Below are 26,819 nucleotides of genomic sequence, written 5' to 3'. Positions count from 1 at the left end.
AGCCAGGCTGGTCTTGAACTCCCAGACTTTAGGGATCTGCTCACCTTGGCCTCCCGAAGTGCTGGGAGTACAGGCATGAACCACTGTGCCCAGCCTGTTCTGTTTCTTCCTGCTAAAACACCATCTTTGAGTTGGCTAATGGGTACAAAAATACAGCAGGGAAATTATAGTTAACAATAATGTGTTATCTATTTCAAAAGAGCTAGAAGAGAATTGGAATGTCCCCAACACAAAGAAAAGACAATGGCTATCCCAATTACCCTGACTTGATCATTACACATTGTATACATGTATCAAAATATCACATGTACCTCAAAAATATATACAACTATGAATCTCAATTTTAAAAAGATAAAAGACTGGGAGAGAAAAATAAAACACTTACATTCAAAAGAAAAAAAACACTTCTCTAGCCAGTCCCAGTGTCACCTCACCCAGAAAGACTTTCCTGATCCAATGGTTTAGGAAAAAAATACTCACTTCATCTTCCCTGGGGTGTTGTTTACATTTAGCTTCTACTTCACAGGCTTTACAGGCCTTTCTCCTCTTTTCCAAGCCTTTTCCAAGGGAGTCCCGAGGGCAGGGGTCTCCCTTACCTGGGAGCCTGACATCACTTTTCTTGCGTAAGTGCTAGAGACAGCTCTAGTCTCAACTTAGGAACTGTGAGAACATCAGGCCAGTCACTTATCCATCCCAGAAGTCATTCTCCGTACCTAAAAGATGGAGAGAAAGCCTACTCTCTACTGCAGTGCTTCTTAAAATGTGCCCACAAATCAGCATCCACATCACCTGCGAGCTCATTAGAAATACAATTCTTCATCTCAGCCCAGCTCAGCCCCACTGAATCACAAAGGGGAGGGGGGGGGGGTGAAGGTTGCATTCCAGGTGATTCTGATGCAGGCTCTGGTCTGAGAAGCACTGCTCCTGCTCCACTTCTGAGGGTCTCCGTAAAGATTAGCTAAAATGACAGTTGTAAAACCACCAGACACAAGCCAAGCACTTACTTGGTTAGGTAACTTCCCCAAGAAAAGAGGGACACTCTGCCATGTTTTGCACATGTGCCAAAGGTCGTGAGTGCCTGTTTTCAGCAGCTCCTCGCAAGAAAAAGTGGCATGCCTTTTCCAATCAATTTTTAATTTCTACTCCAACCTTGTTCTAAAAACAATCTAAGTCAATACTTTGGCTTTGCACTTTCACTGATTCGGTAGAGCACATATCCTCCATTAAACAGATATGCAAAGACAAAAATGTGTAGAATGGAAGTGGAGGTGAAAATTACCAGAAGAGAAGGCTTTTTGATCTCCAGAAAAATCAGGAAACCAGAAAAAAATCTCCAATCATTCCCATTCTAATGATGTCAATTTCTCAATGATTCTGAGAGTACAAACTTTAAACTTTAGCTCACCCCTCATTCTACCTCTAAGGAAAAGGTCAGGGTGAATTAAATGTAAGGAAGATAGCCACCAGCTTCCAGCCCCTCTGAATTCCCACACTAACAAGGTCACTGCAATGTAAACAGGCGCATTTTTTAGTCTGCAGCCAACCTCACTCGACTTAACACACATCATTCTCTTCCACTCACTAAGGAAAGTCTTCTCTAATCGACACCAGTCAGCCTCTCCAAATATTTGTAGAAAGCACCCAACCCTTGCCTGGCCCATAATGAGGATGCAGTGAATTACTGGCTTTGCTTACTCAATGCCTTTGAAAATAACAAACCCAATGTTCAAAGTATACTATCATTCAAGTGTCACCATAATCGAGATCATCACCATTAACAAACATTTATGAGGGCCTATTATGTTTCAGCAACTACATTTCACACCCTATAGGACACAAAGTAATAATGTGGCACAATATCGTTTTGTCTTTATGAGATGCATAATCTATCAGGCAAGAGAACAGGTAACTCAGAGATGACTGTTCAAGGCAACATGTTTACTTCTGACAATAGGTATTAAACGAATTTTAAAAGCCTCAGAAATAAGGATGCCACCTCACTGAGGAACTGAGACATCAACTAGTCCCTGAAAAAAGGTTCTTAAATAGCAGTGATGGCAGATGGCATGGTGTGGGTAGGACTCACGTTTGTGCATCCAGTGGTATTTACTAAGCATCCACCATGTACTGAAAGGTGTGCCAATAGCGGATCCGACTAATAGAAGTGCGAAAATAGAGAAAAGAAAATTAAATACGCAGGTGAGAGGCAGCTTTTGGTCTGCCTGAAATAGTGCACAGCTGCCTCAAATTCTTGGGCTCAGTAATCCTCCAGCCTCAGACTCCCGAGTAGCTGGGACTATAGGTGCACACCACCATACCTAAGTTTGTGGGGGGAGGGGGAAAGGGGGAGGGGGAGCGGAGCAGGGAGGGTTGAGATTGAGATGGAGTCTGGCTCTGTCACCTAGGCTGGAGTGCAGTGGTGCAATCTCAGCTCACTGCAATCTTGGCCTCCTGGGTTCAAGCAATTCTCATGCCTTGGCCTCCTTAGTACCTGGGATTACAGGCATGTGCCACCGTGCCCAGCTAATCTTTTCTATTTTTAGTAGAGACAGGGTTTCACTGTGTTGGCCAGGCTGGTTTCTAACTCCTGGCCTTAAGTGATCCGCCCTCCTCAGCCTTCCAAAATGCTGGGATTACAGGCATGGCCCACAGTGCCCAGCCATGGCTAAGTTTTTAAATTATTTCTAGAGAGGGAGGGGTCTTGCTATACAGCCTAGGCTCATCTCGAACTCCTGGGCTCAAGGGATCCTCCCACCTCAGCCTCCCAAAGTACCGGGATTACAGTATGAGCCACCGCGCCTGGCCTCCATGAATTTTGTAGCTTGCTAGCTCATGTCTTTGTATTGCTTAATAATATCCCATCTGTATGGATATACCACAGTTTATCCATTCCCCTACAGAAAAACATTGTGGTTGCTTCCAGTTTTGGGCTATGTTGAGATGCTTTTCAGGTGCAGATATAGGAGCAAGTAGATGTTACCTCTACAAAGACAGCAGGATCAACTTAAGGTTGGAAACGAGAAGCAAAGTCCTGGGGCTCACTGGCAGACACTGCTGTGAATTTCTGGCTCAGACAAGCCCCTTTATAGCCTCTGGCAGGTAATTCAGCTGATTGCTGAGGTCCTTATCAGAGAGATAACTTGCCTCCTTGAGTTCAGGAGAAAATGACAGGACTTAATAAATAAAAATGTGTCTGGAAAGCTATGTAAAAGAAATAAACACCAATGGGTATTTTCTTTAATAAACTGTAAAGAATTATTGTTTGTTTCCAAATCTAGTCAGCATATTCCCAACAGCCTCATTATTTAATAAGTAACTTTTGGCCGGGCGCGGTGGCTCATGCCTGTAATCTCAGCACTTTGGGAGGACGAGGCGAACGGATCACGAGGTCAGGAGATCGAGACCATCCTGGCTAAACAGTGAAACCCCGTCTCTACTAAAAAAGTACAAAAAATTAGCCGGGCGTGGTGGCGGGTGCCTGTAGACCCAGCTACTCGGGAGGCTGAGGCAGAAGAATGGCGTGAACCCGGGAGGCGGAGCTTGCAGTGAGCCTAGATCGCGCCACTGCACTCCAGCCTGGGTGACAGAGCGAGACTCCATCTCAAAAAAAAAAATTAAGGAAGTTTTTAGTCAAAAGTTCTCCTGCCCTCTACCATTTTCTGCTGAAGTTTTGGACATTCTGAAAATGATACTTAAGAAATACATGCCAAAATGTAAATGTTACCTGCATCCTGTGTTATCATCCACAGACATCTATTATGGAATGAATAACATCATCTTCTTTTTTTTGAGATGGAGTTTTGCTCTTGTTGCCCAGGCTGGAGTGCAATGGCGCGATCTCAGCTCACTGCAACCTCCGCCTCCCAGGTTCAAGCAATTCTCCTGCCTCAGCCTCCCGAGTAGCTGGGATTACAGGCATGCGCCACCAAGCCTGTCTAATTTTGTATTTTTAGTAGAGACGGGGTTTCTCCATGTTGGTCAGGCTGGTCTCGAACTCCCGACCTCAGGTGATCCACCCACCTCGGCCTCCCAAAGTGCTGGGATCACAGGCGTGAGCCACCACGCCTGGCCAACATCATCATCTTATACAACTTTATGAAAAAGGAAGCCATTTCCTAAAGCTTACCAAATTCAGTAAATTAGAAATGATAGGGCTTCCTTCAAGTTGGGAAAAGAAAAGCAATTTCCATTAAGCCATTAAAAAGCAGACCACACAATTTTCTAACAGTTTCAATATTCTTCAAGAAATAAACTATGCAGTATTATTATAAGCCAAAGGATACTATAAAATACAACAGATGTGTAAAGGGTACCTTATCCTGGAATACTTCAACTAGAATTAATGATTAATTACAATAGTGAAATGTCAAGGAAAAAAGTATGTAATAAAATAGTGAAATCCCTTGTGGGAAAATGAGAAAGTTTAAATGTCAGCCTGGTTGATAAGGCATTTAATTAAACAATGTCTACTAAAGAAATTAATGATTATGAACAGCACATTGTTGCTGCAGATTGCTGAAAGGGAGGGAAAATTATTTAGGCGCTATCAGGTTGACCACCAGACTGGAGTCATTCTGCAGCATGACAAAGAGAAAAATCACTAGCCAAGAGAGGCCTGGTTCTAATCCTAACTTTTGACATTTTCAGTGTATTGTAAAATTAACTTCCTCTTTCCTGGATTTTAGGTTTCTCATTCATGGAATGTGAAAACACAGTAAGTATTATTATTTTATTTAGCCAGCACTTATGTAGCACTTTCTCCATGGCAGGCACTGTTCTCAGAGCTTTATAAATTCTAACTCATTTAATCCTCACAACCGCCATTAGACTGACACTACCCTGACCCCTTTTTACAGATGAGGAAACTGAGACACAAGAGATTAACTTGCCCACAGTCACCCAGCTCGTAAGTGGCAGACATGGGACCAGATGCAGACAGGCTGGTGCCAGAGTGCTTGGTCTCAACTCCCATGCCAAGGGCCCTCTTGTACATGATGATTTCTAAAGCCGTCACCCTCTCTACCATCCAGCGACTTTATGATTCAGTCATTTTAGATGCAATCACAAAGTCTCCCCAAACCTCTCACCTGTTTGAGCACAAAAGTGCCAATCAAGCTGCTGGGCAAATCACTAAGCTACTGAGGATGCCTCAGGAGAAAACCTATCAAATTATCAAAATGTGTACTAGAATTGTTACTAGACCTATAAAGAGGTCTACTAATATGTCTTGAAGACAGTGTCTTGCTCTGTCACCCAAGCTGGAGTGCAGTGATACGATCACAGTTCACTGCAGCCTCCAACTCCCAGGCTCAAGTGATCCTCTCACCTCAGCCTCCTGAGTAGCTGGGACCACAGGCATGTACCACCACGCCCAGCGAATTTTTTAAAATTTTTGTAGAGACAGAGTTTCACTGTGTTGCCCAGGCTGGTCTCGAACTTCTGGGGCAGCAATCCTTCCATCTTGGCTTCCCAAAGTGCTGGGATTGCAAGTGTGAGTCACCACACCTGGCCGGTAGTCGTTTTATGGGTCTAAATTATGAAAGTTGTAAATGTCTTAAAACCCTTCTCCCTTCCATTAGCAAGGATTTATAGCAAACACTCTACTGACACAGCGGATCAGAGAATACACTGAGTACCCACAAAAGAAAGGCACTATGGCACCCACTGCCCTCCCTTCCTTGTGCAATCAGAAAGGCGCTCCAACAACGCTCTGGATGCCCCGCCTGAAGTCTGGGTTAGAACTAAACACACCCAGGGCACATGCAAACTCACTGCCCTTAAATAAATATAGTTTAAAACTGCAGAGCTTCCCGTAATACTGAGACACACACGCAGTAGACACTAGTGGGCAAAAACCAACCAAACAAACAAACAAACAGCCCGGGGGAATACATATATTCCCCAAAGCAAATGCTCAGTTCCCATGTAAATCACAGCTTGGTTTAAATAGGCAGATCGAGGAGCAACCTTAGGTGCATACCACAAAAGGGAAAAAGGACAGTGGAGTGGAATTGAGGGCTAAGTCCCAAGTCACTTTCCAGCCAAAAGGACAGGCCATGGTCTGAAATGCAACATCCAAGCACAGTGTCTCTATTCCTGTAACTGTTGAGAAATACAAGTTTTTCACTCAAATCATTTCACTTTCCCACAAAGTGATTTTACATAATAAGAAGGGCCAGTCTTGAAGCACTTATTTGCATCATTTAACACTCCCGATTCTACACAACGACCCTATGGCGTAGGTACCTGAAGAAGAAAGCTTTACTTGAAGCATCTGCCAAAAACAAGAAAGCTGAGAAGGGGCTGGGAAGTCCAAGCACATTCTGAATAAAAACTCTGCAGAAAATCAGACAGTGTTTAATTTTTGAAAACTTCCTCACTGTTCAGTAGATACCCGCCACTGATGGTTACATACACTAGGAACACTTTAAAATTAGGAGATGCTGATCTCTCACATTATGAATTTCTAAATCCTAGAAAGAAAGGCTTGGAGAGCTTCTGAATATAGAGAAGTTCCATTTAAGGACTAGGTCCCCCTTGTTGATGTATCAAAATATTACAGACTCTAAACTGAGACTTAATTCTCAAATGTGTTTTACTTGATCTAAAATAATCTGTCCACAAAAATAAAATTCTAAGTAATAAATTGTTATTTTCCCACCGTGGGAATCACTAACCCATTTATGCCTGAGGTTGCAATTTTTTGAACTGCAAAATCAGACCTTGGCAATGACTTTGAACAAGATATAAATAACTTCCACATGCTTAGCGTTCCAATAATGGAACACTGGGCATATAATGTGAAATGTATTCTATGAAAAGAAATTTTAAAAAATAGGAGCCAGGTACGGTGGCTCACGCCTGTAATCCCAGCACTTTGGGAGGCCGAGGCGGGTGGATCACCTGAGGTCAGAAGTTCCAGACCAGCCTGGTCAACGTGGTGAAACCCTGTCTCTACTAGTTAAATAAAAATCAGCCAGGCATGGTAGCAGGCGCCTGTAATCCCAGCTACTCGGGAGGCTGAGGCAGGAGAATCGCTTGAACCCAGGAGGCGGAGGTTGCAACAAGCCGAGATTGTGCCATTGCGCTCCAGCCTGGGCAACAAGAGCAAAACTTCGTCTCAAAAAATAATAATAATAATAAATAGAAAATAAAATAAAATGGTGTATAATAAAAATAAAATTATTCATATACAAATTTTCAGCAATACAAAAATCCATGAAGAATGCATTATAGAGCATGATAAAGCAAAAGAAAATCCATCTAGAAAATAAACAGGCAATGAACTAAAGAATCTATTAATTTTTGTGTAGTTCAAGAAATTAAAATATACTGCTAAAAGACTATGTCCAAATGGACTGTTATAAATAAAAGGACTCAGGAAATGAAGCAAGGATCACTAGAAGCTAAGATGGCTTCATTAAGACTAAATCAGGCCACAATCATCTCCTTTCTGTCTTTGACAGATGTCTAGGCTGGGAGATAAGGAGACTGTTAGAGCCATATCATAGCTGGATTTCCACAAGGCATTTGGAAGAAACAAGCATGACATGGTTGTGAATTAGACAGGAATTGGGGCTGGATGAAGGTACAGCAAAGTGGGTTGCTACTTGAAGAATGTGCCCAAAGAGTTTTGAATAATTAAAGAATGTCTCCAGAAACTTACCAGAATCTTTTATTAATTGCTTCAACGAAGGTTTTAATGACATGCAAGCCCTATTTTTGGATAAGAAAACACTAACACCAAGAAATGCCAGCAGGAAATTTGACAGGAATACACCATTGCTCTACACAAGACATCACTTCGTAGACTACGATCCCACGCACTCTGACAGGTTGCTCTAAATAAGTCAGCTGGCTGCTTCTATGAGGGGAAATAAACATATGTAAGAAGAGTCTTGGCTGGGCGTAGTGGCTCACGCCTGTAATCCCAGCACTTTGGGAGGCCGAGGCGGGTGGATCACGAGGTCAGGAGTTCAAGACCAGTCTGGCCAATATGGTGAAACCCTGTCTCTACTAAAAATACAAAAATTAGCCAGGCGTGGTGGTGCAAGCCTGTAGTCTCAGCTACTTGGGAGGCTGAGGCAGAAGAATCGCTTGAACCCGGGAGACAGATGTTGCAGTGAGCCTAGATTGCACCACTGCACTCCAGCCTGGGCAACAGAGTGAGACTCCATCTCGAAAAAAAAAAAAAAGAACAGTCTGGTTGTCTGGTAATTGGCAACCATAATTATTGGAAGACAAGGGCTGGCAGCATGGCATCTTACTTGTGAATGGTTGCTGACACACCCTGCCGGGGTTTGCGTGTGTGACACGTATACAACTTGTGGCTTAGGTGAGGGACTGAAGAAACATAGACATCTCATTAAATCTACTTCACTTGATAAAATACCAACTCAAAATTAGACGGACCAAGTTCTTTTTTATTACTTGTACAAGCAAATTTCTCTGGCTTCCTCACTTTTCTGGTCAATTTAAAACAGCTGCCTATAATCAATAATTTTTCTTAAAATGGCCCAGGAAATTTTTCTGGAGATCATCTTTTTGAAAGTAGAATAACAAGTCAGCCGGGCGCAGTGACTCACACTTGTAATCCCAGCACTTTGGGAGGCTGTGGCAGGTGGACCACCTGAAGTCAGGAGTTGGAGACCAGCCTGGCCAACATGGTGAAACCCTGTCTCTACTAAACATACAGAAAATTACCCAGGCGTCGTAGCAGATGTCTGTAATCCCAGCTACTCGAAAGGCTGAGGCAGGAGAATCCCTTGAACCTGAGAGGCAGAGGTTGCAGTGAGCTGAAATCATGCCACTGCACTCCAGTCTGGGAGACAGAGCAAGACTCCATCTCAGAAAAAAAAAAGTAACAGTCAATGTTACATTGCTGGGGTTGATGGCAATGTGATTCAACACACACAGAAATCAATGTGGACCAATACCATAAATACCCATAATTTGTCACTTATAGGAATTTGGCTTTGGGAAATCATCCCAAGGAATAAAAAGGCTATAAACACAAGCAATAAAAAGGCTATAAACGCAAAGAAAGGTTAACCAAACTGTAGCATATCTGCTGCCTAGAACAGTCTACACTCAAAAATCACAAACATGAAGACTGTGAAATGCAGAGGACTCAATTTGTTATGATGTTAAAGTTTGTTTTTTTTTTAAAGAATTTAAAAATTGCTTCTGCACAACGAGTAGGAATACACAGTGTCTGGATGTCAGATGCAAAGAATTTGACTTGCTGGGGTTTCGGGACTACAAGTCATTTTTCTCTAAAATTTATTTATTTACTTACGTATTTAATTTATTTAAGACAGAGTCTTGCTCTGTCACCCAGGCTGGAGTGCAGTGGCATGATCTTGCCTCACTGCCACCTCTGCCTCCTGGGTTCAAGTGATTCTCCTGCTTCAGCCTCCCGAGTAGCTGAGATTACAGGCATGCGCCACCACACCCAGCTAACTTTTGTATTTTTAGTAGGGACGGGGTTTTTCCATGTTGGCCAAGTTGGTCTCAAACTCCTAACCTCAGGTGATCTGCCCGCCTCGGCCTCCCAAAGTGCTGGGATTACAGGCATGAGCCACTGTACCTGGCCAAATTTATTTAACTAAGAGGTTGGTCTTATTGCTATATTACAGGAAGGAAAAAAAGAAATACTGAAAATAAAATGAAGAAGCATAGTCTCCCAGAATGCTTTCATAATTGAGATGAAATTCACGTTGGTAGTCTATACAGTATGAACAGGTTTATATTCCAAATATTTACTCTCATATTGATGAATACTTCATACCCCAAAGCATTTTCCACTATTACATGGTGGAAGAGTTCTCAAGTCAACCCTGGAAAGCCCATTTCACCACGATGAAGCTTAACAACACTATGAACAAGACCTAACTGCTATTTAGTTTCATTTCTGTTGACAAGTATATTCTGAAGCCCAGTTCAACATCCCCAGTGCTCGTTTCACCCAGTCCGAGACTCCCAAGGTTGCTCTTTGATGTTGAGAACACAGGCAGTGTTCTCAAAGGTTAGTACGGTCAAGGGTTCTACAGGTTGAAGCTCCTGGAAATAGGAAAAACAGGCACCATTATGAGGAACCTAGCAGCATCAGAGGTCACCACGACAGCTGGGGTAGGCCCGGGAGTTCCCTTAATGCCTCCAGCAGTGTCGGGCCGGAGAGGAAAGGTCCTGGCCACGTTGCGTGTCAGCTCTGCTTTTAGGAAGGATTGGGCATGGGTGGGCACAGTGCCAGAGGCAGGACCGGGGGAGATGATAAGATGCAGTGTCCATATATCCAGAACACTTGTAATTGGTATTCTGGAGTCAAGGACTACCTATGTCACTGTTTTTATTTTAAAAAAGAAAATCATGGAATGATCACTCATAGATCTACTTGAAATATCATATGAGGCTGGGCATGTTGGCTCATGCCTGTAATCTAAGCACTTTGGGAGGCCAAGCGGGGAGAATCACTTGAGGCCAGAAGTTCAAGACCCTGTCTCTCCAAAAAAAAAAAAAAAAACTTAAAAAGCTGGGCATGGTGGCATGCACCTATAGTCCTAGCTTCTCAGGATGCTGAGATGGGAGGATGGCTTGAGACCAGGAGCTGAGACTGCAGTGAGCTATGATTGTGCCACTGCACTCCAGCCTCAGTAACAGAGCGAGACCCTGTTTCTAAAAATAATAATAAATAAGTAAATGAAATGTCATCTGATGCTTATTACCCATTTCCCAGCTGGGAAGGAAAGGGATCCTGCTAATTTCCTATCAGTCAACCTTGATTTTGCTTCTAATAAGTTTGGAAGATAAGAGAGAGCACAAAATAAACATATACAGAGTTAAAGACTTTGAGGTAGGAGCTTTTTCAACACTGATTTATAATGAATGTATCTCTAGAAACAACAGCCTGAGAAAAAGGGAAGTTCTCAGAGTTTTACCATTTACCCTGGTGGTGTGGAGGTACAATGCAGGAATAGAGTTTGTTGTAAAAGGTTTGCACCATAATTGTTCCTATATTGATGCAAAAAAACCTTGTAGAAAAGGAGAAAATTGTAAAATATTTTTAAAGGAAATGACAAAGAAGTGGGGATCTCTTTAATCCCACCACCATTAAAATTTTTCAGCGGATCAACTCAAAAAGAGAAAAGTTAATATAAAGCCATTACAGACAGGGTCAAGAGAACCAACGGTGCAGGGATGAGGGGGAGGGACAGTGGCAACTGGCCAAGAACAGAAGACAAGGGCAATCTTCGGTCACTAAATACAGACATTTCTAGTAAAGGAAACACGGTATAATTTGAAGACAGAGAACTTGCATGAAAAAGGTAAAAATGTTTTAAATAAGCAGTAAAAAATAATTTTTAATTAAGTTTTTCAACAAGAATAGCCAACCCAAAAGGCTTTGGTTAATAGAAATCACAAATCTCAACTGTTGCTCCTGAAATTGTGATAATACACCATCTATAACTGAAATCTTTCCTGGGAAACTGAAAATAAAAATGCAAAACAGATTTATTACATTATGCCTCAAACTAGTTTTTAAATTGAAAATTCAACGATGCCTGACTTGAGAAGTTTTCTATAATATGCATGGCAATAATAAGTAAATATTCTCCCTCTCGAATACGTATTTAATTTGAATACATATTGGGCTGGTTAGGGAATTTCTATTCCTACAACTTACATAATCTGGTTAACTAATTTATCATATACTCAAGTTCCTTTCTGTTCTGCTCATTATAATACCAGGTTTCTTAACAGAATCTTTAATGATTCTCTCATCATCAAAAGCTGTTCTTGTCTGCCTGTTAAAATGACCAAAGTATGGCACAAAAAATGAAAAAATACCTTCTGTGAACTTGGTCTGAAACAGTCCATGGTAATTTAGGTAGACAAAGAACATTTATTTAAGAATGCATTATAAATTAAAGGCCTTAAATATATTTTAAGTGCTTTTCCTGTACTGCTTTATGATGACCAAAAAAAAAAAAAAAGTACTCATTTCTGACCACAGCCTTAAGAAATCTGCCCCAGCTGCCTGATCTACTTGAAGCCCTGCAAGGGGGCATGGGTTCATGTTCTTGGCCACTGGGCACACCTGGCTCTTCCTCCTTGTTAAGGAGTACATTCCCACAGGCCAGCACCCATCAGGCAACCCAGCCCGGGCCATTCACTGGGGACATCATGGGAAGTGACCTGCATCACAGGACAAGGAGAGGAGAAAGACACTCCTGCCCTGAGGCCCGTCTGACACCTGTGGAGCTGGCGAGCCTTCATGGGCCTTATCGGTTTGCCACCAAGCTGGACTTGTAACCTCAGAAACATCCTGGGTCCAGGGCCAAAGACTGTCCTCAGCACACATAAGGTCAATTGGTATCAATGACAGAAAGGAGCCTGGGCCCATACGGTGAGCCTCGGATGTGCAGGACATGCGTCCCCGTTTCACCCCCCGAACACTTCTGAAGGAGGACTTCGCAGGGACTTCTCTCAAGGAAGGAGGGTCCTTCAGAGTGCAGGGGGTGTGGACACCGCAGACTCCACCTCCCTTAGAGCCATAGTGAAGCCCACAGGGGACCCGCAGGTCAGCCTGGGCAACCCAGGAAGCAGTCAAGGCACAAGGGCACCGCTTTAAGCCTTCAGACATCTTAGCCTCTCCTTTCTAGCTAGAAAACTTCTTTCTCCTTTTTTTTTCTTTTGAGACGGAGTCTCACCCTGTCCCCCAGGCTGGAGTGTAATGGCATGATCTCGGCTCACTGCAACCTCCACCTCCAGGATTCAAGCGATTCTCCTGCCTCAGCCTCCCGAGTAGCTGGGATTACAGGCACACACCACCACGCCCAGCTTTATTTTTTTTCTTTGTATTTTTAGTAGAGACGGGGTTTCACCAGTGTTGGTCAGGCTGGTCTCGAACTCCTGACCTCGTGATCCGCCCGCCTCGGCCTCCCAAAGTGCTGGGATTACAGGTGTGAGCCACCGCACCCGGCCTGAAACTTCTTTAACAAATATTTATGAAGGCTTCTTTCTTACAGAAACTGTTCTGTTCAGGACACTCCTGTGAACAAGAGGCCCACGTGGGTGCTGCCGAAATGCGAGGGGTGTTCGGCCCCACCAGGAAAGTCCACTCAACCTGAACAACAAGCGGCAGCCATGTTCAAGCAGGCAGGGCTGCCAACTCACGCTCAGCAGAGCAAACTGCACCCAATCCAAGGGACCGCAGAGTTCTGAGAACATTTGCTCTCCCAGCTTAAAATAGCAAATGTGAACACTTTTCCTCAGGACTTTCATTTTCTTTGTCTCAAGTCAAAATAATTGTCTTCATGATTGACTGACTCCCCAAAGAGGGTTCAACATTTATTACATGTCATACTGAACAGCATGCTTTGCAGATTAAAATAGAACAAGACTCTGGTCACAGAAATTACATCAACAGGAGGAAAATGAAAATAAGATAACTAACTGTACATGTCCCCAACAGCCCTCTCCACTAGATTATTTCAACAGCCACACGATTTCTGCAGCTATAGTCTCCAGCTCCATATGGTAATCCAGCAACTTCTGGACTCAAATGATTTCCACTCAGCTATAACCATGTTGCTCTCCTGCTCAAAGCCTTCCACAGCTCTCATCACCTACGAAGTTGAATAAGTTATTTCGCCTGACATTCAAGGCCCTGTAAGGTGACATGAACTTACTTTCCAAGACTTTCTCTATTTCTCCCCAGGACACAGAGCCCCCTTCCTTACCACTGCCTGGATCCTCCTCCCCCACATCTCCACCTGCCAACATTCTGCTCCTTTATCAAAGATTATCTCAAATGCCATGAAACTTTTTCCATTCCCCTCTATTTGGGAGCTCAAAGCATCTTGTGTTTCTCTTCTGACACTTATCATACGGTGCCTTATGTGACAGCATCTCCACTCTTAATTGGGCTATCACATTACAGTGTAAACATTCAAATATGAGATATGTTGAAAGAACACCATCACCAAAGAGGAGGCTCACAGAAAGACATTCTACCTGCAAGGGAAGGGACATAAGTCAGTGCAATCATTTTGGAAAGATACATTAGTTTCCAGGTCAAAAAATAATGAATGAGCTGTAGAAAATGGAATGGCAATTCCTCAAAAAATTAAATATAGAATTGCCATACGATACAGTGATTCCACTTCTGGGTATAAACTCAAAAGAAATGGAAGGAGGGATTTGAACACATATATCTGTATGTGCACGTTAATGGCTTTTTTTTTTTTTTTTTTTTTTTTTTTGAGACAGAATCTCGCTCCATCTCCCAGGCTAGAGTGCAGTGGCGCGATCTTGGCTCACTGCAACCTCTAACTCCTGGGTTCAAGCAATTCTTACGCCTCAGCCTCCTGAGTAGCTGGGATTACAGGCACATGCCACCACGCCCAGCTAATTTTTGTATTTTTAGTAGAGATGGAGTTTCACCACGTTGGCCAGGCTACTCTTGAACTCCTGACCTCAACTGATCCACCCACCTCGACCTCCCAAAGTGCTGGGATTACAGGTGTGAGCCACCACGCCCGGCCCATATCATCTTTATTCACAACAGCCAAAACGTAGAAGCAACAAATAGATGGATAAACAAAACATGGGATATACATACAATGGATTATTACGCAGCCTTTAAAAAGAAGGAAATTCTGACGCATGCTACAACATGAAGCACGAAGAGATTATGCTAAGTGAAATTAGCCAGTCACAAAAGGATGACTACTGTATGATGCTCCTTACATGAGATATCCAGAACAGGGAAATTCAGACAGACAGAAAGTAGAAGAGTTACCAGGGGCAGGGGAGAGAGAGAAGAAAGATGGAAAATGTTCTGGAGCGCCAGGCGCGGTGGCTCACATCTGTAATCCCAGCACTTTGGGAGGTCGAGGTGGGTGGATCACCTGAAGTTGGGAGTTCAAGATCAGCCTGATCAACATGGAGAAACCCCATCTCTACTAAAAATACAAAAAGTTAGCCAGGCGTGGTGGCTCATGCCTGTAATCCCAGCTACTCAGGAGGCTGAGGCAGGAGAATCGCTTGAACCAGGGAGGCAGAGGTTGCGGTGAGCCAAGATCGTGCCATTGCACTCCAGCCAGCCTGGGCAACAAGAGCGAAACTCCGTTTCAAAAAAAAAGAAAAGAAAAAGAAAACGTTCTGCAGATAGATGATGGTGATGGTGGCACAATAATGTGAGTGCACTGAATACCACTGTGCTGCATGCTTGAAAATGATCAAAACAGTAAATGTGGCCGGACGCGGTGGCTCACGCCTATAATCTCAGCACTTTGGGAGGCCGAGGCAGGCGGATCACCTGAGGTCAGGAGTTCGAGACCAGCCTAGTCAACATGGAAAAACCCTGTCTCTACTAAAATTACAAAAATTAGCCGGGCATGGTGGCACGCACCTATAATCCCAGCTACTTGGGAGGCTGAGGCAGGAAAACTGCTTGAACCCAGGAGGCGGAGGTTGCAGTGAGCTGAGATCGTGCCACTGCATTCCAGCCTGGGCGACAGAGAGAGACTCCATCTCAAAAAAACAAACAAACAAACCCATCAAATTTTATGCATATTTTACCACCACAGCCAAAAAAAAAAAAAACTAATTATCAGAATCAAAATCACCTGGTATGTGTTAAAAGGTTTCTAAAGGAACCTATGCTGCTTCCCAGGAATGGTATCAAGAAAGGTAGCATCCCATTTCGAATGCCAAGAAAATTACATACTAAAGAGCAGAGCACTTGCTTATCTCCCCAAGTTTTCTATGGGTGTTCTGATCACGAGGAACCTTAAACAGAAAAGGAAGCCCCCCCAACATAAAGATCTAGGACAAAACGACACCTGAACCAACCATAGAGAGCTTTATCTTACCAATCCCAACGCCTGCATGCTTCACTTTCTTGACTTGCCCTGTTAAGCCCTTTCTAAAAATTCAAGGGCTCTTTCCAGCGGTATACTGCTTTTGTATCAACTCATGGGGACCTGCTGTTAAATTTTCAGGAATTTTTACCAGCCAGTTATTATATAAAGATATGGATTAAAATAAATTATATCAATATTTATTAAGCATAAATTTTACAGAAGTAATGAATACTCAAAAATCATCACTTCCCAATTATTTTACATTTTACTTTTATCTATCTGTGATTGTGAGGTTATTTTGCCTGCTGCATCTGGATGGTAACAATACTACATAGGAATGTGCTACCACACACTTTTTCCTAACTCTGTGTGCAATGATGTCATGTTGGTAGCCTGCAACTGGCCATGGTGGAAATATTTACACCACGGAAACTGGCAAACTCTATGAATTAGAGTTTTGTTTTTGTTTTTCAAGAGAGCTGGTTGTGAAACTGGTTCTTCCCTGTTCAAAGTATCTTGTCAATAAAATTATGTATTTTAAAATACACTTGAAGTATTTGCCAAAAACATCAGAATGAATTTATTTTAATCCACAAAAGAGAGTAGACACGGTACTAGAAACAATCTTTTTAAAAACAAGTCCCTCACAAATTCTTAGAGCATAGGATCACTGAGAAAATGTAAAGGCTGTGGAGTTGGCCACTGCTATACACCATCACCAAAGGCGGAAGCAGGATGGACATTAGGAATCCAGGCAATCGCATTTTGGTATTTTTTTCCCTTCAAATATTTTTTAATGTAGAGTCGTACTTCCTTAAGAAGCAACAACAGGTGAATCACACTCCACATACTGTTTCATAAAGCACCTTTACATGTTAATATAGTATGAACAATTTTCCAAAAATCAAATAACCTCCTACATCCTTATTAGCACAGAACTTTAAAATGACACATTAAAATGACACATTAAAAGGCAGCCGGGCGTGGTGGCTCATGCCTGTAATCCCAGCACTTTGGGAGGCAGGTGGATCACCTGAAGTCACGAGTTCGAAAGCAGCCTGGCCAACACGGTGAAACCCCATCTCTACTAAAAATACAAAAATTAGCCGGGTGGGGTGGCAGGCGCCTACAATCCCAGCTTCTTGGGAGGCTGAGGCAGGAGAATCGCTTGAACCCAGAAGGCAGAGGTTGCAGTGAGCCGAGATCTCACCACCACTCTCCGGCCTGGGCAACAAGAGTGAAAACTCCATCTCAAAAAAAAACAAACAAAAAACAATGCTTGCTGGCTTTTTGAGTCTGACACTGCTCTCCCTTCTCAAGTATTTTAAAAGTTAAAATCTAACTGGGAAGGTGGAACTGAAGGAGAAACCATGTGGATGTCATTTTTAATACCTATGACCTGGCCTGGATTAACAAGGAAAGTGAGGGTGAAGAAAGGGCCTGGGGGAACAACCGCCATGCCCACCATATGTCAAGCCTCAGAGAGCCAGGGCGCTAAGGGGACTGGCTGTGAGAGAGACACACAAGCCTCCTAAAAGCCAAAAACCGAAGGAGGATCATTCTCAAGGTAAAAGAAATAACAATTGTTTGGAGGACAGTGGAGGCAGCGAGTATGAGCAGGTTTCACAACACTCCCCACCCCTGCCTTCCAGTCCTCAGCATACCCCACACCAGTTTTTGCGGCAAACAGCTCGGCCTCATTCAAAGATGAGCGACCACTGAATAAGAACACAGGCAAAGGCAGCTAATAAGGTGCGTTTGTAAAAATAATCAACAGAAGCTGCTGCATAACAAAAATGCAGTGCCCGCTGTTCAGAAATTATTAACAATTTCAAGACAATGACGGGAGCATTCGTCCAAGCGTGGACCCTTAAGTGGATGCAGAGGTCCCATGCCCAGGAATCTGGGCCTGAAAAACGAAGGTAACAGACTAAGAGCTCAGAAAAAATAGTCCTCCATTGTCTCAAAAATATTAAAGATAAAATGGTCCTTCTAAAAATGGGGAGCTCAGAGACTAGATATGAAGTTCCAAAGAACTGACAGTCATCAATCTAAGAGATTTTAAATGGACTGATAGAGTTGAAGAAATAAATGGACTAGAAAAAAAAATATCCAGAATGGAAGCCACACAACTACAGTAAAACATAGTGTAAGCTTCTGTAAACAGAGGCAGAGAACAAACAAGGAAATCACTCAAAATTACTAAAAAGGAACAACAAGAGGGACAAAGATACACAAATGATAATAAGAATAGATGCTAGATTTAGAAGGCAAAGAAGATAAAACCTAACAACTATGGTTCCCAAAAAGTGAGCACCATTCAAAATATATGCAAAAATATTAAAGGATCTTAAAATTTTACTGATATAAAGACAGACTTGAATCAACAGATATTATGGTATAGGACATACCAGGAAAGTGACATAAAACAGCCAATGCCCAAGCAATGCTGGTAAAACTCTAAACTTCAAAAAGAATCAGAGAACCTCATGGGCACATCCAATGGAAAAAGCTAGTCATGTGCAAAAGAAAGAAACATTAACCCAGCCTCAGCTTTCTCTTCCAGAAATATCCAGTGCTAAAAAAGAATGGGAGCAATGTCTAAGAAATTCTGAGGGCAAGAACGTGTGGCCCAAGACCTTGGTACTCGGCCAAATTGTCCTTCAAATATAAAAGCAAGGAACAGCTATCCTTAAGTGTTAAGACCTCAAGGAACACAGTACCTACCAGGGCTTCTCTAAATAAAATAATGTGGCTGGATGCGGCCACACTGGGTTTACCCCTGTAATCCCAGCACTTTGGAAGGCCAAGGCAGGTAGATCACTAAAGCCCGGGAGTTTGAGACCAGCCTGGGCAATATGGCGAGACTCAGTCTCTACAAAAAATACAAAAATCAGCCAGGTGTGGGGGCGTGTGCCTGTAAGTCCCAGCTACTCAGGAGGCTGAGATAGGAGGATCACTTGAGTCCAGGAGGGTGAGGCAGCAGTGAGCCATGATGGCACCACTGCACTCCAGCCTGGGCGACAGGGCAAGATCCTGTCTCAAAAAATAAAATCGATTAAATAAATAAAACAATGAACCAACCAATGAGTCAAAATTTAAAACTCAAGCAAGGTAAAAAAAAACAGTAAAAAGACTAACAAGTTCTGAATCCATCCTAAAAGGGGACTAAGTCAAAGAGCTATGGGAATTGTGGCATTATTAGAATAGAAATGTTACAATCCTTCACACTGTAAAATTCATAATTAACTGATAAAATTTTGGAGCTTGGGAAAGAGGGGGAGCATAGGTCAGTTCTATTTTTTTTTTAGCTTTCAAAGGAGAGAGTCTCACAAACTCATAGTTTATAAGAAATTATTCTAATCTCTTAGTATTTATTATTTATCATCTTGTCATAAATTTAGTTTCTAAAAGATAGCGCTAATCTCTCTTGCAATGAAGTCAGCATTTCTATCTTGCTTTAGTTTCTTTTCCTTTGCTTTAATTCAAGTCTATTTTATTTTACATCTTTAAGTATTAAATACCATGTGTGATAAGACCCCATGACCATGGCAAGTTCTAGACAGGGCTCAAAAAATGTTACCAACATCATTGGCCAGGCACAGTGGCTCATGTCTATAATCCCAGCACTTTGGGAGGCCAAGGCAGGAGGATCGCTTGAGCCTAGGAGTTTGAGGTTACACTGAACTGTGATTGCGCCACACACCCCTGGGCAACAGTGAGACTCTCTCTCTCTCTCTCTCAAATAAATAAATAAATAAATAAATAAATAAATAAATAAATAAATAATATTATTTCTAAATGGTAAGATTTAGGGTGAGGTTTTTCATTTCTTCTTTTTACTTTTTTGTATTTTTTTTATAATGAGAATGTATCACTTCTTCCCAAACAAGTCACTTTTTAATAATAAAGAACAATCTTTTCATTACTACCTAAGAAACTGACTTTATTGGTTTTGCTCTTCTCCATCGCTGCCAGCCAGGCAAAAATCTAAACTTAAGTCTATTCACTTATTATTCTTCCTCTTATACCCCACTTTGCAGGGGATAAAACTGAAATCCAGGGCAGTTAGGTCATTTGCTGTCGGTCACAGCGCCAGGATGTAACCTCAGACAGCCAAGCTACGTTAACATGTGAGCTGACAGAATTACTGAAGTTCATTTGGTTCATCCCAATTTTTTCCTTCACTTAGTAGGCATGTGTGGACCTAAACCAGCAGGGAGAAGTGCTATCTGCAATGAAACGGCCATACTCATGCATGTCTGGTGGATGTACATACAATACAACTCTTTCAGAAAGCAACAAGAGCAAAATTCTGTCTTAAAAAAAAAAAGACTTAAAAATGCTTAAACTCTGTAATTCTGTTTGTAGGAATCAACCCTAAGAAAACAAATGTAAACACAGGGAAAGGTATATAAATGAGGAAACACATAATCTAACAACAGAGTATTAGGACAATAAGGCATCATAGACTCATACAATTGATCATTATGCAGGCATTAAAATGCACATTATGGAGAAATACTAAGGAACAGGGGAAAATACTTATCAAGTGAAGACAGCCCACTACCATTCCTCATTCAACACAGCAGACTGCACTCAGGCATTCACCCCTATTCCCTCCCAAAATCCCACTAAAATGATAAACATTACTTTACAAAGGCAGATTCCCACAAAAGGAGCCAGAAGAAAGAGACACCAGAGAAAACAAGAACATCAATAATATTTTAGAAGAAATAAAGTGAGCTGAAAAATCTCAACTAACTTGGAAGAAGGCTGAAACTGAAGGCTGTGGAGGGAGATGACAAGCAGCAGCATGCCAATTTCAAGACAAATCCCAGGAACTGCAAGAATCAAGTATCACTGGAAACAGATATGGCTCCACACAAGAAGACTGGCTGAGAATCTGAAAATTTTCTGATACGGTTTGGATGTCTGTCCCCTCCAAATCTCATGTTGAAATGTGGTTAGTGTTGGAGGTAGGGCCTGGTGGGAGGTGACTGGATCATGGGGGTGGATGCCTCATGAGTGGTTTAGCACCATTTCCTGGGTGCTCACCCAGGGATCTTGTTCTGGTTGTTTAGAAGTACGTGGCCCCTCCCCACTCTCACTCCCACTCTTGCCATGTGACACAGCCTGCTCCCCCTTTGCCTTCCACTGTGATCAACTGGAAGTTTACTGGGGCCATCACCAGAAGCAGATACCAACGCCATGCTGCTTGTACAGCCTACAGAATTACAAGTCAATTAATCCTCTCTTCTTTATAAATTACCTAGCCTCAGGCATTCCTTTATAGCAATGCAAAACTAACACAATCTCCCACCCCATGCAGCCTTTCCCTAGCCTTTCCCTAGCCTGGCTACCCTTTCCCTAGCCCGGCAGAAGCAGGAGATATCTCTTCTGTGGAGGCTGAATCTAGGAGGGCCTAAGCTCAAAGGGCCCGGGAACAACCAAAGGTGGGAATCAGATGCTTTACTAAAAATGAGGAATTAAGTCAAAAGTTTTTTGTTTTGTTTTGTTTTGTTTTTTTGAGATGGAGTCTTGCTCAGTCACCCAGGCTGGAGTGCAGTGGCTTGATCTCGGCTCACTGTAAGCTCTGCCTCCCGGGTTCACGCCATTCTCCTGCCTCAGCCTTCCGAGTAGCTGGGGCTACAGGCACCCGCCACCACGCCCAGCTAATTTTTTTTTCTATTTTTAGTAGAGATGGGGTAGACCAGGATGGTCTCGATCTCCTGACCTCGTGATCCACCTGCCTCAGCCTCCCAAAGTGCTGGGATTATAGGTGTGAGCCACCATGCCAGGCCAAGTCAAAGTTTATACCCCAAATTATAAGGCCTTCCCTTCCCAGCCCACTTCTACAGCTCTTATCACAGAATTCTGGCAGCAAAGATCACACCCCACAGCGGAATGTGAGATAAGTCTTCTCTGTAGAAACTCGAGAACCCAGCAGAAAAGACCTATGGACACTGATATGGTTTGGCTATGTCCCCACCCAAATCTTGAATGGTAGCTCCCAAAATTCTCTTGTGTTGTGGGAGAGACCCAGTTACCAGAGATAACTGAATCATGGGGGCAGTTTCCCCCATACTGTTCTTGTGGTAGTGAATAAATCCCATGAGATCTGATGGTTTTATAAGGGCAAACCCCTTTCACTTGGTTCTCATTCTGTTCTCGTCTGCTGCCATGCGAGACATGCCTTTCACCTTCTACCATGGATTGTGAGACCTCCCTAGCCACATGGAAATGTAAGTCCATTAAGCCTTTTTCTTTTGTAAATTACCCAGTCTCAGGTGTGTCTTTATCAGCAGCGTGAAAACGGACTAATATGGACACCAACATCTGGGGGTCTCCAAGAAAAAAGATGGGTTCCAACTGAATCACACAAAGGACAGTCCAGTGTACAAGCCCAACAATACCGATGGATTCCAGCCAGCTTTTAGGCACCTCACTCTGAAGTATAAACAGCTGGAGATAACCAAGTATTTTAGAAAAGCTTCCAACATGAAAGATGGGATGATAACAGTTGAAGAAAAATCTAGAATTACTATCCTAAGAGAAAACTGACAAATGATGAATTGTTCTTTACACTGTAAGCTTATTCATCACATTTCCAACAGCTGAGGATGCCTTGGTGTCTAGGAAGAGAGACCCACACAACTTCTCCCTCATCCCACAGCAGCCAGTGTTTTGGGGGCACTACAAGTGAGCTGAATCTCATCTTCCATTCTAGTAAGTAAAGAGATAGAACCTAAATTAGAAAAAGAAATTGCATGTAACACTTTATGACATGCACTGGCTAAATAAGAACTAGAATCCATTTACATTATATAAATGAATTATTTCACAACTTGAAGATAAACTCAAGAAAAAAAAGGGTTAAAAATATTTGAAGGCGGGGTGCAGTGGCTCACGCCTGTAATACCAACATTTTAGGAGGCCAAGGTGGGTGGATCACCTGAGGTCAGGAGTTCCACACCAGCCTGGCCAACATGGTGAAACCCTGTCGCTACTAAAAACACAGAAGTTAGCTGGGTGTGGTGGCACACACCTGTAATCCCAGCTACTCAGGAGGCTGAGGCAGGAGAATTGCTTGAACCCGGGAGGCAGAGGTTGCAGTGAGCCGGGATCATGTAACTGCACTCCAGCCTGGGCGACAGAGCGAGACTCTTTCTCAAAAAAAAAAAAAAAAAAAAAAAATTAAAAATGATTATCTTAGGTACCAGGAATTGGCGTGTGGAGGGGCCAGGCAGGGGACAGCCAATTTCCATTACAATAAGTGCTTGATAATATTTTTTTAAATGTTTACATGTGTTACTTTTATTTCAAAATGAAAGCCAGCTACACACCCACAGGTGCAGTGTGATATGACAGTCTTTTAATAAAGGCTATATTAAAAGAATAGACACAAAAGTGTTGACAGTGGTTATCTTTGAGGGGAGGGATTATAGGCGTCTTACTTTTTGCTTGTATCTGTTTTTGTTTTCTGCACTGCGCGTGTGTTGCTTTTAAATACGCATTTCAAGCGCCTGTGTTTTAGGATGAGCACCACCGGTTCGCTATGGCCTGGAATGATTCCACCCGTGGCCTTTTAGGAATCTGTTGAAAAATGAGTGTGCACTGAGGGAGCTGAGGAGCAAGTGAAGATGACTCTCTCAAGGAATCCATCTGAGGGCCAGGAGGCAGGTCAAGGGAGGGAAGGGCGGGAGAAGCCTTTTTTTTTGGTTTTTTTTTTTTTAATTTGAGACAGGGTCTCGCTCTGTCACCCAGGCTAGAGTACAGTGGCGTGATCTCGGCTCACTACAACCTCTGCCTCCTGGGTTCAAGCGATTCTTCTGCCTCAGCCTCCCTAGTAGCTGGGACTTCAGGCGCACGCCACCACACCCAGGTAATTTTTGTATTTTTAGTAAGGATGGAGTTTCGCTATGTTGGCCAGGCTGGTCTTAAACTGCTGACCTCGGGTGATTCTCCCACCTCGGCCTCCCAGTGTCCCGGGATTACAAGAGTGAGTCACCGCGCCTGGCCTAGCAGAAGCTTTTCTTTCACTTGCTTTTGCTTTTTAGAACTGGGAGGGCCCACGCCCCACGTGCAGCGACGCAAGGGCGACGCAAGGGTGACGCACGCCACGGCCGTTGGGAGCCTGAGACTCAAACATGGCAGCGCCACCTTCTCCAGGAAGGACGGCCGACCAAGCAGACCAGGTATGCACCTTCCTCTTCAAAAAGCCTGGACGGAAAGGGGCTGCAGGCCTCAGAAAGCGCCCGGCCTGCGACCCCGAGCACGGAGAGAGCAGCAGCAGCGGGGACGAGGGCGACACAGTGGCTCAGCCCCCGCGGGTGGCACCGAGGCCCCGGGGCCTCCACAGCTGGCAGAAGGCGGCTCACGGCGACAGGAGGGGCGAGGAGGCGGCGCCTGAGAGCCTCGACGTGGTGTACAGGTCCACCCGCTCGGCGAAGCCTGTGGGGCCAGAGGACATGGGGGCCACCGCTGACTTCGAGCAGGACACCGAGAAGGAGCACCATACGCCGACCATCCTCAAGTGCAGCCAGCGGGTCCAGGAGGCACTGCGGGGTCGGGAGCACGACCACATCTACCGGGGAATCCACAGCTACCTGAGGTACCTGAAGCCCAAGGACACGTCCATGGGCAACTCCTCCTCGGGGATGGCGAGGAAGGGCCCCATACGTGCGCCAGGGCATCTGCGCGCCACTGTGCGCTGGGATTACCAGCCTGACATCTGCAAGGACTACAAGGAGACTGGCTTCTGTGGCTTCGGGGACAGCTGCAAATTCCTCCACGACCGTTCCGATTACAAGCTCGGGTGGGAGATTGAACGGGAGCTTGAAGAGGGTCGCTACTGTATCTGCGAGGACGAAAACCATGAAGTGGGAAGCGAGGAAGAGGAAATACCATTCAGGTGTTTCATATGTCGCCAGGCCTTCCAAAACCCAGTCGTCACCAAGTGCAGGCATTATTTCTGCGAGAGCTGCGCGCTGGAGCACTTCCGGGCCACCCCGCGCTGCTACATCTGTGACCAGCCAACCGGCGGCATCTTTAACCCCGCCAAAGAACTGATGGCGAAACTGCAAAAGCTTCAGGCTGCAGAAGGTGGGGGCAAGTCCCATTTCACAGAAGACCCCCATGAGTGTCCAATTCCCATGGCTTAGGTTTCCCATAATTCTCACATTTAAATAAATTTTTTTGTTCTTTTAGGAAAAAAGAGATAAGAAAGACTCAAGTCTGTATGTACACTGGGGAGAAGCAGCCTGTTGAGTAAGATGAGAGAGATGACAGTCTTCCTGCAATCCCATGCCTGAGTATGTAACCAAAAGAATTGAAATCCGGATCTCAAAGAGGTATGTGCACTCCCATGTTCACTGCAGAATTATTTGCAAAAGCCAAGAGGTGTAAACAACCCAAGTGTCCATGGATGGATGAATGGACAAACAAAATGCGATACACACACACAATGGAATGCTATTAAGCCTTAACGGGAAGGAAATCCTTTTAAAGATTTAAACTGATCCTTTTAAGGATCACATGCTACAACTAGAATGAACCTTGAAGACGACACTGCTAAGTGAAATAAACTAGTCACAAAATGACCAATACGCTGTATGATTTTTCACTAATATAAGGTATCTAGAGTTGTCAAAATTACATAAAAAGTCGAATGGTGGTTGTCAGGGGTTAGGAAGAGCGGGAGTGGGGAGCTGTTGTTTAATGGGTACAGAGCTTGAGTTTTGCTAAATGAAAAAGTTATAAAGCTCTGTTACACATCAATATATATATACCTAATATGAGTGAACACTTAAAAATGGTTAAGGGTACATTTTATGTTTTGTACTATAATTAATTTTTTTTTTCAAAAAAGCTAAAAAGAGATATCAGAAAAGGAAGAAATGATGGAACCAAGACCGGGAGGGAGTGGAGAGGATGGGGTTCAAGAGTTACCAAAACAGCAAATAAAGGATATCAGTTAAGAACCAAGGAGGGGAGGAGTTGACAGAAGAATATCCACGCTGAAGTTTGGATTTGATTTTGTTTGGCTGATGTTAACATCCTCTCCCTTAAAATGGCAATGTATTCCTCTCCCAAGACAAACACCAACAGATCCACGCTGAGTTCCTCACAGCTGATGAGTTCCTTACAAGGAACTGACACAGATTATGTAAATTTTCATAAGAGCCTATCTCATATATCAACTTTGGCTGTGAATTCCTTGAAGACTGAAACCATGTCTCACATACTTCCTGTTTTTTAATGGCCAACAGGTAGCTCAATAAAAAGTCAGTTAGTGAAAAGTCAGTCAAACCAAGCTACCTAGCAGTCGGCTATGCAAGCAACTGCGGCAGAGCGAACTTCGGCAAAACTTTCCACGTGATTTTGACCTTGAACCACACCCATCGACCCACCCACCACCATGGCCAGGTTGCAGACAAAAGCAGAGCCGTGGTTGAGGGCACAGACCCAGGAGCGAGATAGGATTCAAGTCATGGTTCTACCAGTTACAGCTGCGTGACCTTGGGTATGTTACTTTACCTCTCTGTGCCTCAGTTTCCTCATACATAGTAGTATCTCACAGGGTTGTTTTGAAGCAAAAATTAACATATTTAGAACAGTGCCTGACATACAGTATGTGCTATCAACATATCGATTATTGTAATTCAAGCAGGGAAAATGGCAGCTTGATAGTCGACAAGGCAGACAGTTCAAGTGCCCCATAAAAGTGAGCCATTTATTCTGGCATTTCACATAGAGCTTTCTCTAAGAATTGTCCTTGCCAAAGCTAACAACACAAAGCTTGTGTACAATGACTTACTGGGCCCTACCCCTAAGTCCGTCCGTTTTTGTCAGTTCTGTCAAAGGGCTATTTTATTCACTTTCAAGCCTTCCAAAAACATTTGGAATCTGCACAAAAGAAGAAATATGAAACTTTCAGGCACTCCGAAG

The 26,819-nt window shown here is 43.5% G+C and overlaps 2 protein-coding genes across 4 annotated transcripts in view; one reads left to right on the top strand and one right to left on the bottom strand.

The window, feature by feature from the left end:
• FARP1 (FERM, ARH/RhoGEF and pleckstrin domain protein 1) overlaps positions 1 to 26,819 on the bottom strand; it is a 312,588-nt gene that overhangs the window by 253,921 nt on the left and 31,848 nt on the right. The window lies entirely within an intron of this gene.
• RNF113B (ring finger protein 113B) lies at positions 23,987 to 25,471 on the top strand. The gene is made up of 2 exons (NM_178861.5): positions 23,987 to 24,974; positions 25,080 to 25,471. The coding sequence occupies exons 1-2, from the start codon at positions 24,020 to 24,022 to the stop codon at positions 25,091 to 25,093; spliced, it is 969 nt and encodes a 322-aa protein (NP_849192.1). The 5' UTR covers positions 23,987 to 24,019; the 3' UTR covers positions 25,094 to 25,471.

The sequence above is a fragment of the Homo sapiens genome, chromosome 13 (assembly GCF_000001405.40).
Source record: "Homo sapiens chromosome 13, GRCh38.p14 Primary Assembly".
Lineage (NCBI taxonomy): Eukaryota > Metazoa > Chordata > Mammalia > Primates > Hominidae > Homo > Homo sapiens.
Note: the sequence above shows the minus strand (reverse complement) of the source record. Positions and strands in the feature narration are given on the sequence as shown.